At 41.3% G+C, this 17,027-nt stretch overlaps 1 protein-coding gene and 1 long non-coding RNA gene across 3 annotated transcripts in view, besides 1 other annotated feature; one reads left to right on the top strand and one right to left on the bottom strand.

Moving 5' to 3' along the window:
• The window catches only part of CFAP61 (cilia and flagella associated protein 61), a 308,167-nt gene that overhangs the window by 252,689 nt on the left and 38,451 nt on the right, over positions 1–17,027 (bottom strand). For both annotated transcript variants that reach the window (NM_015585.4, NM_001167816.1), the window contains one exon: positions 9,196–9,355. In NM_015585.4, the coding sequence (NP_056400.3) occupies positions 9,196–9,355 (160 nt within the window). The remainder of the gene's footprint in view (positions 1–9,195; positions 9,356–17,027) is intronic.
• Positions 1,264–1,828: an enhancer, noted in NCBI's record as "NANOG hESC enhancer chr20:20086826-20087390 (GRCh37/hg19 assembly coordinates)". NCBI's record gives its function as "activates a minimal SCP1, AML or CMV promoter by ChIP-STARR-seq in naive and primed H9 embryonic stem cells {active_cell/tissue: H9 hESC(naive and primed)}" and the evidence as "EXISTENCE:reporter gene assay evidence [ECO:0000049][PMID:30033119]".
• On the top strand, positions 12,255–13,566 carry LOC124904880 (uncharacterized). The gene is made up of 2 exons (XR_007067553.1): positions 12,255–12,423; positions 13,247–13,566. It is a non-coding gene; the product is annotated as an uncharacterized LOC124904880 (long non-coding RNA).

Here is a 17,027-nt window from a genome sequence, read left to right as displayed (position 1 = left end):
ATATAACTACTTTTGTGATTTGCTTTTCTCTTTATTTTAGAATATTTCATGTAGACTTAAATCAGTACTCAATAAAAAAGACAGGCTGGGTGTGGTTGCTCATCCCTGCAATTCCAGCACTTTGGGAGGCCAAGGCAGGAAGATTGCTTAAAGCCAGGAATTCAAGACCAGCCTGGCAACAAAACGAAACCCTGTCTCCAAAAAAATGTAAAAATTAGCAAGGTATGGTGGCACATACCTATAGTCCAGCTACTCAGGAAGCTGAAGTAGGAGGATCACTTGAGCCCAGAAAGAGTTCAAGGCTGCAGTGAGCCATACTTGCACCACTGTACCCCAGCCTGGGCAACAAAATGAGACCTTGTCTCTGAAAAAAAGAAAAAAAATTTTTTTAAGTATTTTTCCACAGAGTTGGATACATATATACACACATATATTATACATATACTCCTATATATATCTCCACTACTGTATGCTAATTTTTCATCTTCATATACTAAATTAAGCTTTTCTAGAATAATCTTATTTCCAAAATTGATTCAAAGGAAATAGAAAACCTGAATCTATTAACTACCTTGAGGAGAAATGGAAAAGTTGTCAAAGATGCTTCCAAGATGCCTCTACCAGGTCTTCTACTGAGTGAGCCTATCTGTCCATGGAGGTCTGAAAATACCGAAAGTCCAAGCAAAATGCAGTGGAGAGAAGGCCTCTGACCCAGTAGTCAAATAACTGGCTTCATGTTGAGCTTCAGAATTAATAAATTTTCCTTTGTTTGTTGCCATGTGCAAAAACTGTGCTTTTCAGTAATTGCTTCCTTAGCCGCTTGGCTCAGATTAAATTTGGTCCATGATATTTTAAGAATCATCAAAAACTCTTTGTAAACAGAACTCACAGTGACCTCAGTGCAATGGGTGTGACCCACTGATGGCCAATTTAATCAAGGGGGAATTCAAAGTATTCAGTGCAAGCAATTGATTTTCAAGAGAAAAGTCAGCAGGATCAAACACCCAGTTGGGATGAAAATCCCTTGAATCACCCCTATCACCGTGTTTTCTAGCAACTAACTGCTGACTCCATATAGCGTAATAGCCAAATTACTATAATTATCCTGCAACACAAGTGGCATATCAACATTATTTTAAACACGGATTTTTTTTGCATAATCTTTCGTTATTATCTTTCAGCCTTCCATCTGAAAATGGAAAACAACAACAAACTGTGATCTACCCCAACAGGAAAAAGGTCACCAGAGAGAACAAATAAAAGGGTTATTTACATGTGAATGTACTGAGATGTGTTTTACAGTCAAATACACTCTTGAACTTCATTAAATGCCTTCTCCCCTGCTTCATAAATATGGGCAAAAGAGACATCCCCTACTGAGAAAATAATCCCAGCACATAATGATCATAACGAATATAAATAAAGCCACTTTTCTTCTGAAGACCTCCAGGCCCCATACAAAAATGCGCTTGTATTTCCACCATTGTGAAATGAATCTGACTGTTGGAGAACAAGGCTGTGATATCACAGGTCGCTCCCAGGGCTGAAGAGGAAAGGAGGAATGCAGATCTCAGTCATGTTGCTGTCTGCAAAATAATAGATTCTTAAGTGGTTGCCATCCTTTGATGCTATGGTTGTTTTTGAAGACATTAGAAAAGGCTTAGAAATCAGCTTTGGAATTAAGATGGAGAATTGACAACAGGTTTTATGAAATAACCAAAAGGCTCACCAAGATGGCTTTGGGGTCATGTCCCTGACAACAAGTTCTGGGCTTCAGGTCTGGATTACAGTCTTCCTGGTATCCTACCAGTCCAGGGGCTCTGCCCTGAAAGCCCTGAAAGAGTCTAAACTCTCAACATTGGAGATGCCTGGGTATAGGTCTGGTATGATTTATTTGTTTTATCAACATCTCTTGCAAAGCTTTAGAATTAACAAAGTAGATTCTAGAAAATCAAATTTTATATATATATATATATATATATATATATATATATATATATATATATATAGGCAAGAGTAGCTAAAGCTTTCGAAGATGTTGCCTTCATATGCTAAAGACATTCAGTGGCTTAAAAAAATGAAATTCATCATGCCTGTAATCCCAGCACTTTGGGAGGCTGAGGTGGGCGGATCACAAGGTCAGGAGATCGAGACCATCCTGGCTAACACAGTGAAACCCCATCTCTACTAAAAAAAAAAAACTCAAAAAAATTAGCCGGGCATGGTGGCAGGCGCCTGTAGTCCCAGCTACTCGGGAGGCTGAGGCAGGAGAATGGTGTGAACCTGGGAGGCGGAGCTTTCAGTGAGCCGAGATTGCACCACTGCACTCCAGCCTGGGCGACAGAGCGAGACTCCGTCTCAAAACAATAAAAATAAATAAATAAATAATTCAAATTTTAACAAGTATAAGTTAGTATATTAGGGCTATGTATGAACATTAAGTAAAGCCGACTTTGCTGCCACTGTCTGCATTACTATCAGAGCCTTGAGTACAGGCATCAAAGAACCACACCACAGGATCTAGGAGAAGGAAAGAAAAGGGGAGGAGGGAGAACTGAGATGCTCAAAGCCCAGATCACAATGAGAAAATGGCAAATTTGGTGGCAACTGCTACCAAGTGAGTAATATTGCTGTGTGGCCACTGAGTGAGAGCTATAATGGGCCCCAGAACTCACCCTAGCCTCCTGGGAAGTGGAGGTGACCAGGGCACAGAAGCCTGTAAGAACAGAACTCCTCTCCTAGGGGGATCTGAAACCCATGCCAGGAACAATGAGAAGCCCATTGGTGGGACACAGGGACTTTCCTCGGGCACAGAAGGTTGGGTGGGTGCGGCTTACATCCAGCCAGGGGAAGAACATGGGCTTATGAGAGGATGTAGACATCCAAACATTCCCCACCCTGAACACATACCGCCCCCCTATTAGGGACCAGAGGAAGGCAGTACGATACCATAGAGCCTCTCCTGGGCTGTAGTGTGCCTCCTCCCACCCCCAAAACTCGTACACTGAAGGCTTAACCCCTAGTACCTCAGAATGGGACTGTATTTGCAGACAGTCTTTAAAGAGGTAACTGAGTTAAAGTTACAGGTGAGCCCTAATGCATTGTGACTGGTGTCCTTATAAAAAGAAAAACCAAAAACACTGATGGGCACAGAGGGAAGACCCTGTGAAGACATGGGGAGAAGATGGCCGTCTACAAGTCAAGGAGGGAGGCCTCAAAAGAAACTGACCCCTCCAACATCTTGACTTCTGGCCTCACAAATGTGAGAAAATCAATTTCTGTTTTTTAAGCCACCCAGTCTGTGGCACTTTGTTATGGCAGCCCTGGCAGACTAAGTCCTGGTGGGTCACTGGTTAACTACAGAATGAACTGACTGTTAAAAACAAGGTTCCGAGATCTGTAATGTAAAGACGGCAGCAGAAATCCTAACACACCCTGTAGATACGTGCTCCAGTCCTGTTTGGAATCCATGTTAAAAGAAGAATAAAGTAAAATAGAAGGGAATCCAGGAATATAAAATGGAACCTTAGGAAGAGAGGCGAAAAGACCTGGGATGATTTAATACACAATCAATAAGACTTAATGTAGCCATTGTTTTTTAGCTCCGACACAGGGAGAGTGGGTCTAGGTGTTTCCTAACCCAAGAGATGAGGGAATCTGAGATAAGAAGCAAATGTGAGTTCAATAAAACAAGACATAAAATTGAAATAAGACATATAAAGACATTTCCTGACAGCAGGAGTAATTTAAAAAAAAAAAGTTAAAGGCAATATTGCGATGTTTTACGTGGAGACATTACAAAAATTCTATTTTGAAGGGTCTTTTATATGTATAGTGAGCAACAGTTTTCCTGGATGACTTGGTGACAAGGGGCTACACTAGTTATTCTTTTGAATGCCCATAACTCTATTATGTAAAGTGAAATCTCTCCCTGCCAAGGAGCACATCAAGTTCTGCAGAGACTTTGTAAGGTGGGCCCTGGGTATATAATGAGATTTACAAATCGGAACCTTGCAGGAGTCTTTTAAAACAGAGATTCATGCTGCCCAGATCTCAACGGCCTACATGAGGAACAAAAGTTTTGTTTTTTGCTTGTTTTTATTTTTTTATTTTAACTATTAAATGCGGCAATGCCAGTACAGCTGTGGAAATGCAGGTTGTGCCCTATTTTGCCTTATGCATTATCAAGAAAATTGCCAGCTCAAGCTTGATTCCAAAATATTTATTGGGTGATGCAGCTAACAAAAGACACAGCTTGATTTGCAAACACCAGGCAGGGCCAGTGCTGCGGCCAACTGGAAAAAATATTGTTTTGAACCATTTTATTGTCACTGAAGGAAAATATTCATAAAGTGCCAGGCATATGGAACATCTTGATATGTATTCAATAAGTTTTTTTTAGCATTTAAGGGGATCTTACATCTCATTCAGTATAATCTTCCACACAAGCAGAAAGCCCTTTGTAAGTGTGTATGACTGTTTCTTTATGAATTCTTCCAATATTCTGGGAACTTGCTACTTCCACACTAGGTCCTCCATTAAATAAAAAAAATACACTTCTACTAGTTTTTCCTTATGCTTGGACAAAATTTACATCCTTAGAACCTATTCCCATTGGTCCCAGTTTACTCCCAATGTTTAGTACATAAAAACCAAAGTTTACAAGTATGTAATAGGTTATACATGCAAAATGGGTAGCTATGAAAACATACACAAATTATTCAGGTAAAACACAAATTGATTGTACACAGTTAAACATTTTAGATTCAGGGAAACTTTTTTTTTAAGGTAGAACCTAGCATTTTATTTAGATCTTCATTAAACTGTTGGAATTGAGAACATACTTAATAAACCTCCAAAAATAGATCCTGAAAAGCACTTTCTGCTCAGGACAAGCAGTCATGGAATAAGCACATAAACAAGCTGGCTTCTCTGCACCACACCAGCCAAGTCAGCTTTCTCCATGGTCAGCCACACCAGCTCTGCCCTCCTTTCTGTTAACACCAGCCAGACCTCCAGGGAAACTTTTGATAAGGCTGAGATGATGAAGGACAGTAAGCTAATTACCATGTGTATTAGGAGCTAGAAAAAGGAGGGCCTCTGGATTCATTTAAGAATGCTGAGTCTTGACATTATTCTGCTTGAAAGGGTTGAGGTTGGTGTGAAATTGCAAGTTTTCACAGCTGGCAGGGAAAGATCAGATCTTGAGAGAAGAGCTTGAGAATAAGCAGTTTATTTTGGAGGTGGTTCCAGGATGTACCAGTAGGAGAGTGAGGAAAGAGACAGGGAAGGAAAGGCAACTAATAAAATGTGTGTTGTCCATGGACACATAAAGGGGAACAACACACACTGGGGCCTTTTGAGGGTGGAGGGTGGGAGGAGGGAGAGGATCAGGAAAAGTAACTAATGGGTACTAGGCTTAATACCTGGGTGATGCCATAATCTGTACAACAAACCCACATGACACAAGTTTACCTATGTAACAAACCTTCTCATGTACCCCTGAACTTAAAAGTTAAAAAACAACAACACATGTGTTATCACCCAGATTACTATTATGGACAACTGAAACTTAATCCCTTGGGGGAACTCTGGGAAACCAGCCAATACTCACATATCTGAGTCCTCCCACCTGAGGAGTGAGGGAGCTGGGGTATTTATACTCTCACCCAAGTCAGCTGTGTATAAATAAATGCTTTCACAGCTGGTAGGAAAAGACCTAACTAGTAGTGTCTTGGTCTCACTTGCCTCAGAGGCAAATCTTAAGTTAAAGATTCAGTTACAACCATTTATTTGGGAGTCAATGGAGAAAGCACCAGCAGGGAAGCTGGGATGTGACATAGGGAAACAGAGTCTATTCCTTGAGTGATAATTTCCTGACACTTCCAGCCTGACCCCTGCATAGGTCAGAGTGGCCTTTCACAGTTTTAAAAAAGCCTGCAGACACAGAGGTGAAGATTCCAGCAGATAGGAGTTGTTTGGAGCACACACATACAAAATAAAAGTCGGAGGGATATGGGCAGGTCACTGATCACCCACTGAAGTGATCATTCATTAAATAACTTATTAAAGTGAAAAAACTGGCCGGGCATGGTGGCTTACTCCTGTAATCCCAGCACTTTGGGAAGCCGAGGTGGGCGGATCACCTGAGGCCCGGAGTTCAAGACCAGCCTGGCCAACATGATGAACTCTGTCTCTACTAAAAATACAAAAAAAATTAGCTGGGTGTGGTGGCACACACATGTAATCTCAGCTACTGGGGAGGCTGAGGCAGGAGACTCACCTGAACCCGGGAGGCAGAGGTTGCAATGAGCTGAGATTGCACCACTGTACTCCAACCTGGGTGACAGAGGGGGGCCTTCATCTCAAAAAAATAACAATAATAAAAATAAAAAATAAAAATAAAGTGAAAAAACTCATCATGTATCTTGTGTAGCAGACCCGTCATTGGAGTTTTCTGTCAAAACCATCCAAGATAAGACGTTACCTTGCCAAGACTATCATCATGCACGAAAGCAGAGAGAGGCTGGGTCTGCCTTCTGGGTCAGCCACTGATGAGCTTTAAAAGCTTGGATGAGCTTTAGCAAGTAAAAAATGGAGAGAACCTCACCTTCCCTAGCTCTCCTACACCAAGTTATAGGATAACATGAGATTACATATATAAAAATCCTTTGAAATGGAAAAAAGCACTAAACAAAATACAAGATATGAGACACAGTGATGTGTGCTCATTTGAAACAAGAATTTTAGTTCATATTTTAGAGAAATTATATTTCCTTTAACTTGAGACTTTCATCAGGAAAGGAAAGTAACAGATCACAGTACATTTAGAATTTTCTCTGGAGCCTCATTCTTTGTTGTTGTTGATAGGAAGATGGCAGCAAAATGTGCTGATGACTCTTTTCTTAGATATAATGAGCTGTTGATGATTTGTGACTCAATCCCTGGAAGTTATGTGGAAGTCTACAATGCCAGCTCCCTGGTGAAAATTTCATAAGGAATCATCTTTGTGTCAATGAACATAAAGCTGACTTTCAAAAATAAACAAGGCACAGAAGATAAGTTTTCCTATTTCTTTTACTTACCATCTGTCCTAGATTGACTTATTTTAGGTAAAAATATTGAAGGAGGTAAACAGAAGTAGGACTTCTTTTAGTGCCCATATCTCTGTGGGCTCTTGCTAGAGATATACTAGCTTACGTATGTTTTTAAGTCCAGGGTTCAGTTTAAATTTTGAATTTCACTGCCCCATAAAGTTTCTAAGGAATTTTCCATTCATTCTATGTAGGAAACAGTAGCATCAGAGCCACTCAGAAACACACTGGAAGGGACTACATCTTTTCAACTTGTTCTTCATTACAACAGCCACAGGGGAAAAAATATTTTTAAATGTTCAGGACTTACTTTGTGTTTGGCGCTGAGCTAAGCACAACACATAGATTCTAACATTTAATTGTCCCCTCAATTCTTTGGGTTAGATACTATTTTTATCTCCATTTTACATGTGAGAATATTCAGCCATAAAAAGGCTATTTAGGGCCAAGTGCAGTGGCTCACACCTGTAATCCCAGCACTTTGGGAGGCTGAGGCAGGTAAATCACCTGAGGTCAGGAGTTCAAGACCAGCCTGGCCAACATGGTGAAACCCTGTGTCTACTAAAAATACAAAAATTAGCTGGGCGTGGTGGCGCACACCTGTAATCCCAGCTACTCCAGAGGCTGAGACAGGAGAATCACTTGAACCCTGGAGGCAGAGGTTGCAGTGAGCCAAGATCACACCATTGCACTCCAGCCTGGGTGACAAGAGTTAAATTCCATCTCAAAAAAAAAAAAAGGCCATTTAGTGCTGCTTTCAAAGAAGAATTTAAGCATTGGAAAATAACAATGACAACTTATGGTTCCAGACTGTCTCACACTGATAAGTTCCCTCAGAACTCTCCTATGGTAGAGTTCTTCTCTGGGAAGCATGGCAAGCAAGGCTTCACTATTAAACAATAAGGACCCCAAATCTCTTTTGGGGAGGGTGTTGTTATCATCAGCACAAAAGGGAAACTCCTCTATCTGTGGCTTTGCAGGTTCTCTGTGATAAGTGTGTATGTTCAGATGAGGTCTAGACACTGTGCACGGGGTTTATGCATTCAGGGGATAAGCTTAGCCAAGTCACTGCCTTCTGTTGTCTAGATTGGCAAGTCCTTTGCCACCAGCCAAGTGCTCCTTTCCCCATTTCTGAACAATCTTGGTGTAATCTTTCAGACAGGAGAAAGCATAGCAATTTGAAATACCCTGATTTTACCCTAGGAAGATTCAAGTTGGTGGAAGGCCGACACAAAGAAAAAATAATTGCTAACGGTGATGATCAACATTTATTGAGTGTTGACTGTGCAAAGCACTCTACATGGCTTATCTCAGTGAAACTTCACAACCCCCCCCCCGTGTGGGAGGTATTACTATTATGCCCATTTTACAAATGAAGAAATCCAGCTTTGGAGAAGTGAATTGATGTACCCATGGTAACTTGCCTGTCTGCATCTGTCTTCTGTAAGAACCCAAATATGTAACCGCAAAGATACCCATGGATACAGTAAGACCTCACTAAATTAAAACATCAAAGTTTGAGGTTACCTAATTGAACGTGGTGAAAATCTTGATACAGACAATATTTTAAAATTGATGGTATTATTTCATATAACTAGAAGTAACTTAAGCAAGTTAAAAATGACTACTTGCAACAGACCTATACTACATAATGATTTGTCAAAGACAAAAACAGAAGCACTGAAAGTTGGGATTAAAACTTAAAAGCATAAAAAATTTCCTGAGTTCTTGATTTGAAAAATTCACTTGTTGTATTTGGTTGTGTGTGTGTGTGTGTGTGTGTGTGTGAAACCTGAAACACCAGTAATTATTTCATCATAACTTACATGTACTCTAGCAATGAACATTCAAGAAGTGAGCATCCTGAATGTGGGAGCCCTAAGGCCCCAAGTCCACTATGTCTAACTCCACCCCTGCACTGTGACTATCTGTGCTTGTAGGTATTTCACAAGGATGTGACCAACCATGGGAACTACTCCTTAAGGGGAACTGGGGAAGGAAATATAAAGCATCCTATCTAGTTCCATCACTTAGCGAAGAGCGCAATGTGTATAAAGCATAGATTTAATTTCCCAGTGTGTCCCTGTGATAGCCACTGTACCTTGACTTCTTCGGACACTTAGGTCTTGTGGTGATTCCAGAACGTCATCAGGATGTGGGAAACAGAGTCCGTGGAAAGGGCCCAAGTCAAAGCACTCATGCAGCAGTTGCATGTTCACTCTTGAGCACACACTCATGAACCCAACAGCTGTGCCTTCCACCTGAAATATCCAAAACACCTCATTATTCTTTTTTTTTTTTTTTTTTTGAGACAAAGTCTCGCTCTGTCACCCAGGCTGGAGTGCAGTGGTGTATCTTGGCTCACCGCAACCTCCGCCTCCTCAGTTCAAGCAATTCTTCTCCCCAGCCTCCCGCAGAGCTGGGACTGCAGGCGCCCGCCACCACACCCAGCTAATTTTTGCATTTTTAGTAGAGACGGAGTTTCACCATGTTGGCCAGGCTGGTCTTGAACTCCTGACCTCAAGTGATCCACCCACCTCGGCCTCCCAAAGTGCTGGGATTACAGGCATGAGCCACCACACCCAGTCCAAAACACTTCATTACTTTATCAGAGGTCAAATGATTCTCATCAGGAAACCTCCAGAGCCCTCAGAATGTGGTCGGCTGGTGGTTTGGCAGTCACCTTGAGATTTAAGGGAGGAATAAGTGTCTTCCTTCAGTACATAAAACATGCTCAAAAAATGTCCCAATAAGTGACCACTGGGGACACACCTAGTGGTGCATAAGTAACAGGGAAATTGCCAGAGTTCTTGACCCTTCAACCATTGGAACACTTGCCCTCTGCTCAGACCATGCTCCTGCCTGCTCCATATCCTCTGCCATTTGGTGTCTTGTGTTTGTACCCCACCATAAGCCTGGCGCTCCTGTCTACTTTCTTTCCCTCTGCCATGCACACTTCTCAGGAATACAGGTCATTGTTCCAGTGCCCATCTGATCAGCCCCCAGTACAGAGAAAGTTCACGGTCCCTAGCTCCTTATCAGGTAGAAACTCTTCAATTTGTCTTGAAGTCACTTATTTATTAACTGGATAGTCTGATAGGGAGGAGATATGAGGGAAGGAAGTTTGGTGGAAAATGTTCCAGTGAAGTAAACTTGAGTCAGGCTAGGCTGGTTCACCAGGTGGGTCTGATCTGCAAATGTTGAACTTCCCATCACCCTGAAATGCCTGGTTCTGAAGCTCTTGCAGTCGTCCCCATGATTTTCAGTCTTTGATGAGTAATACATAGGCGAGAAGATGAGTAACTAGCTGATCTGAACCTTGGTTGGGTACCAGGTACCTGATTGGTACCAAAACATTAGAAATTAACAACAGACTTTAATTCTATCATATTCCACATGGAGAGACGGCTGTGACTGAAACTCCTTAATATATCCCTTAAGTAATTCTGTATTTCATTGTTTTCTGCAAGGAAAGTATTTAAAATTTAAAAAGAGAGAGAAAATACATAGTCCTTTAAATTTCACATAAAATAATTATTAGTAGATTTTAAGCAAATTCTGGTTGACTGATTAGACTCTGATAGCTCTTATTAGAAACCTGCATTTACTGGGTCCTATCTCTCAAGTGTTCAGACTTTTAGATAACCATTGCATTCAGAAAGTAGCAGAACTCAATAATCACAGGCATTCTCTATTCCCAAGAACGCAGCATCTTTCCATAAATGCCCAGTCAGAGAAAATGCTTTAATCTCCTAAAACAGAGAATCGGGCTACAATAATACTCAGTTTTTTAAATGACACCAAAAAAAAAAAAAAAAATAGGTATTAAACTACTATTTGTTCTCGAATATGTCTCCCAGTTAAAAATCATTTGTTCTCAAACGTGTTTGCAAAATAAAAGTGAGACCTCCTCTATTTTCTTCTCAATACTGAAATATGAGGGGAATTTTTAAAAATTAATTTTTTCATGTATATTCCTTTCTTTACAGGCCCCCTAAAATGATACTTGCTGAAAAAGCCTGGATTTACACAGCTGTTTTATAAAGCCATTGACACTTTAATAAAAGTCCAAAATAAACATTTTAATTTTTTTCCCAAATAACAAGTGATTGTTTGTCTTGTTTGCACTCGTGAACAAAGGCTGCATAGCCGCAGTTGTCTAGCTTCTCTGTAATTTCAGGCCCAAGACTCAGCAGACGCTGATTAACCAATCCATCTACCATATGTGCAGAAAGAGACGGCCAGCCTGACTCTCGGCAGGGAAAATTGGCATCCATCTTGGTTCACATGGAGATGTCCTTCTAATCTACAGCCGCGCTGGCGCAACAAAACTTCGATGGCCTGAAATACCTTTTGCTGGCTTCACAGCGAGCTGCATGTGTATGATAAGAATGTATTATTTATAAGACCGCTGTTAGTAATGAGCTATTACACTAATGGCTCATTGTGTTTGGAATTTGATTTCAAATGGCATGGATCACACATTCTGATGAAAATGAGAAAAACATGTTTTGCCATTAGGAACAAAGATTTAACGTTCTCCAATTCTACAACCTGTTATATTCCCATCATTCATCCAGGGTTGTAACAATTTACAAAAGTTCACAATTACAGACTACAACAGAGCAAGGACATATTGTGGAAGTGTCTGCTTTTTCCTTTGAGTTTCTTTCAAATAACCGATTTGAGAAACACTATTCTTAAATATGAATTTGCAGGAGTATCCAAATGTATTCTTGTGTATGCACTGAAAAAAAAATGGATTTAATGGACTTTTTAACTTGTACAACAGAAAGGCATTGATTGCTGGCTGTTATCTATCTTCCTGGTGACAGAAGTACTTTTCACCACAAGTGTCTTCAATTATCTTATACTGGAGAACAAAACTGAAGGTTTTGTTGTTCTTGCTTGTCCTGTAAATATCTACATCATGACACATAAGGTTTAGATTGCTAGAAAACTATGTGTACTGTGGCCTTGTCTTCCCAAACAGGTCCATTTACAGAAACGTGTGTATTTTCTCATTTATGCTTCCATCCAAAAAGCCCTACAGCCACCCATCCCTTTTGGGTGACAATATTCCACTGTGAGGGTTTTGCCCTCATTGTGACCACTGCTGGCTCTGATCCTCTCCTCCTGATGCCAAGCGCATGGCTGACCTGGCAGGCTTTCCCTGCCTGCAGGTCAGTGGTGCCTACTCGGACCACTGCTGCCCACACCCTGGATGATGCCAAAGCAGACGCTCTGCCCATCTGTCACTAGGAGCCGCCGCTGGCCTCCAACTACCCTTCCCTAAAACCTCAGCTTGGAGTAAACACCAGATGTCAAGGTAAGCCAGGGTACAGTTATGACAAGGAACTTGTATGAAGTGATGGCCCCAAACTCCTCCAAACTAGCTATCAAGCCAAAGAAAGTCCTTGTAACTAAAAACCCTTTCAGTAGTAAGGGTTTCCCACAGGGCACAGCCTTGCCCTCAGGCATGCTGCATGCCTGGCCTGGAACTGCCATGGCTGTTCAGAAAGACAAACTTGATGGACTTCTTTCTGTTTCCTCTGGTTGACAGTGGTTGCCTTAAAGTAACGTGTGCCTGTAAATGCCTAATCAGCATTTGCGGGGGAAAAGCCCAGATCTGTAGCATTTGCCGATTTCTGAGGTGTAAGCGCTGTCATCATGGTCAATGTCAAGTGAACAGTGTGATCTCACTAAACATGTAGTTGGGAGGGAATGCGCAGTAGCTAGCCATTATTTCTTATATCTACTGTATAGAGACCCAGACATTTAAAAAAAAACCCTCAAGAACATGGAGAATAGTAAAAAAAAATGGAAGGTGATGAATTTCAAGTATTTATTAACTTTGTTTTAATATAATTTATTACACTGTAGGTTTCTATAATTTAATTTTTAATAATAGCTGTGTTTAACAAGCAGTTTGCAGAGTTCCTGAGGATTTAACAATCAGCCCTTGAGAGCCAGAGCAAGCTGGCTCCAGCACACCATTGCCTAAAAGCCCCCTAGGGAGGCAGGAAAAAGGGTAGCAACAGCATTGATCTTGAACCCCAAAAGGCTTCAGACATCAGACATGGCTCACTTCAGATTAGACGTCCCCTCCCAGATCCCGGCTCACAGTCTTGTTTCTGCCCTTCCATTTTAAGATCGAGGTCTGTGGTCTCCCCTCCACAGAACACAAAGCCTCTGATGCTTGAGGCAGCACGGCCTCTGGAAGGAGATGGGGCTGGATGCCCTCTGCCTCTTTCGAGACACCAAAGGATTCTTGCAGGGTTGGAACTGCAGTTTTCAGCCTACAGCTTTGCTCTGATGTTTACACACACTGAAAGTGTGAAACATACGGCAAGAGAGAGAAAGAACGTGGGGGAAGAGGTCACTGCAGCTTCTCTACAAAGCACTGACTCAAGTGATTCAGAGTAAAACTAGTACCTTGGAACCAAATAATTAAAAGCCTTCCAAAAACAAAGACCCTGATTAAACCTGATAAGTAAAGTTTGGTCATGAAAATCCTTATTGGGGTCTGTATGAATCATTTCACTTCTCAGGAGTTTCTGTCTAGTTGTGTAAAGACAAGCTTTCCAAATGGTACTGCTGGGCCCAAATGCTTCCAACCCTCCCTTCTATGGCTAGCCTGGTAGCCTGGGGCTAATGGCTAAACAAGAATACGTGAAAGCGGGTCTTTGAGAAACCATGCCAAAACCTAAATATAAGAAAATAAAATAAACATTTAAAAAATAAATAAAAATCCTTTCAATGTAGTACTTCAGAATCTAATTTCCAGGGGCCAATTGTCACCTTCAGAAACTAATACCCACATCTCTATAAAGTCATGTCATTCTCACCAGGTATGTTTTACCCTCATGTAGATGAGTGTTTCACCACCTGGACTGCACCTTGGAATCATCTGGGGAGATCTTTAAAAATCCAGATTGAGGTCAGGCATGGTGGCTCATGCCTGTAACCGTAGCACTTTGGGAGGCTGAGGCAGGAGGACTGCAGTTTAAGAAAAGCCTGGGCAACATAGTGAGTGTCCAAAATTAAAAATAAATATATGGATTGTGTCTCACCCCCAAAAGATTGACTTAATTGGCCTGAGTGTACCCCTGCAACAGGATTTTTAAAAATGGATATAATTGATATAATTCACCTACCATAAAAACAACCCTTCAAGAAGTACACAATTCATGCCTGGTGCAGTGGCTCACACCTGTAATTCCAACACTTTGGGAGGCAGATCACTTGAGGCCAAGAGTTTGAGACCAGCCTGGTCAACATGGCAAAACCCCATCTCTACTAAAAATACAAAAATTAGCCTGGTGTGGTGGCACATGCATGTAATCCCAGCTACTTGGGAGGCTGAGGCAGGAGAATCACTTGAACCCGGGAGGTGGAGGTTGCAGTCAGCCAAGATCACATCACTGCACTCCAGCCTGGGCAACAGAGCAAGACTCTGTCTCAAAAAAAAAAAAAAAAAAGAAATACACAATTCAATGGTTTTTAATATATTCACAAAATTGTACACCCATCACCACTGTCTAATCCCAGAACATTTTCATCCCCCCACCAACCAACGACTATGCCCAATATTAGTCACTTCTCCTTCCCCTTTCCCTCCAGTCACTAATCTACCTTCTGTCTCTACAGAAGTGTCTATTCTAGGCTTTCATCTAAATGCCATCATACAATACGTGGTCTTTATGACTGACTTCTTTTCTTTAGCATCATGTTTTCAAGGTTCATACACGCTGTAGCATGTATCAGTGCTTCGTTCTCTTTTATTTCCTGGTACTATTCCCTTGTGTGGATATACCACATCTTGTTTATCTATTCATCAGTAGATAGACATTTGGGCTGTCTCCACTTTTTGGCTATTATGAATAATGCTGCTATGAACATTTGCGTACACATCTCTGTGTGGACATGTGTTTTCAATTCTGTGTATGGAATTGCTGGGTCAAATGTTTAACTTTTGGAGAAAATACCAGACTTTTTCCAAAATGGCCACAGCATTTTATATTCCTACCAGCAATGGATGAGGCTTCCAATTTCTCCACATCCTTGCCAACATCTGCTATTGTCCTGCTTTTTTATTATAACCCTCCTAGCAGAGGTAAAGTGGTATCTTAGTGTGGTTTTGATTTGCCTTTCCTTAATGACTAATGATGTTGAATGTCTTTTCATGTGCTTATTGGCCAGTTGTATCTTTTATTTATTCATTTTTTTTAAAAGTGTCTATTCGAATCATTTGCCCACATTTTATGTGGATTATTTTTCTATTGTTGTGAGAGTTCTTTGTATATATTCTGGATCCAAGTCATTGGCATGGTATGGATAGTTAAAAGCCTCCCAGGTGATCTGCATATATGCCAAGTTTGAGAACCACTGATGTAGAACAAAGCCTCAAACTGCTCATGTCATCCAAGTAAGAGAACTTTTCATTCCAAGTTTCAAGAAAAGTAATATTCTTTAAACAGCTCTTACAGTTTTAACAAATAATGAGAAATGAGTAGATGAAGAATCATGAATTAGAGGGTGTGGGCTGCCTTTTGGGCCCAATAGGCTGGGCCTTCTGATTTGTTTAGAAAAGCTAGAAATTCCAATTTTTACATAGACTTTCATAATTTTTACAATAGCTGCTAATTCAAAAATATTTAATCATATATAACTTGAATCAAATCATGAGAAAACATTGTACAAATCCAAATGGAGACATTCTACAAAATAACTGACCTGTACTATTCAAAACTGTAATTGTCATGGAAGATAAAGACGGATCGGAGAATTGTTCCAGATTTAAAAAGGCTGAAGAAACAGAGCACCTGAATGCAATGAATGGCCTGGAATTACCTCTGCCATAAAGGACATTCCTGGGACTGTCAGAAAAATCTGAATGAAGTCTGTAGATTAGATAAAAGAATTGCAGGAACTAGCTGGGCACGGTGGCTCACGCCTGTAATCCCAGCACTTTGGGAGGCCAAGGCGGGCGGATCACCTGAGGTCAGGAGTTCACCTCAGGTCAGCCTGGCCAACATGGTGAAACCCCGTCTCTACTAAAAATACAAAAGTTAGCTGGGCGTGGTGGCGCACACCTGTAATCCCAGCTACTAGGGAGGCTGAGGCAGGAGAATTGCTTGAACCCGAGAGGCGGAGGTTGCAGTGAGCCGAGATCATGACAGTGCACTCCAGTCTGGGTGACAGAGCAAGGCTCCATCTCAAAAAATAATAATAATAATAATAATTACAGGAATCATAATTACTTGGCTTTGATCATTGTATTGCAGTTATCTAAGAGAGTGTCCTTGTTTTTAGGAAATATACATTGAAATACTTACAGGTAAAGGGGCATTATGTATGCAACTTACTCTCAAATGGTTCAGAATATACATGAGAGAGAGAGAGAGAGCCAGCAAGAGAGAAAAAGAGAGAGAGAGAGGGAATTAGAAAGGTTGAACAAGAGAATGATAAAACAAATGGGGTTGGATGTTAACATTTGGGGAATCTGGGTAGTTATAAACTTTCTTTAAGTGTGAAACTATGTCAAAACAAAAAGTTAAAAAAAATACCTTTCCAACTCAAACAAAATCCATCTGCCAGCAGAACGCTGGTTTGTGACTTCTGAAGTCTGAGATTTGGGGATCCTCAGAAATCCCCCTACGCACCCCTGGGGGGTCTTTTCCATTCCCTCTCACTCTAGGGACAAGGCAAGAATCTACAGCATCGTGGGCATCTGGAAGGACCTCGCAAAAGACAACCTAAAGCCAGTAACCCAGGGGAGGAAGCTGGCCTGGTGCACCACCTGGAAGGGCAGTGGGAGGGCCGGGGTGGCCAGGGAGACAATGGCAGCTCCAGGGGTGCCCAGCAACGCAAGAGCAACACCACTCACATCCCTCCTTCCTCTCACTAAGTGTGTTCCCACATGAATCAGTC

This window comes from Homo sapiens, chromosome 20 (genome assembly GCF_000001405.40).
Source record: "Homo sapiens chromosome 20, GRCh38.p14 Primary Assembly".
Classification (NCBI taxonomy): domain Eukaryota; kingdom Metazoa; phylum Chordata; class Mammalia; order Primates; family Hominidae; genus Homo; species Homo sapiens.
This window is presented reverse-complemented; position numbering and strand designations above follow the sequence as displayed.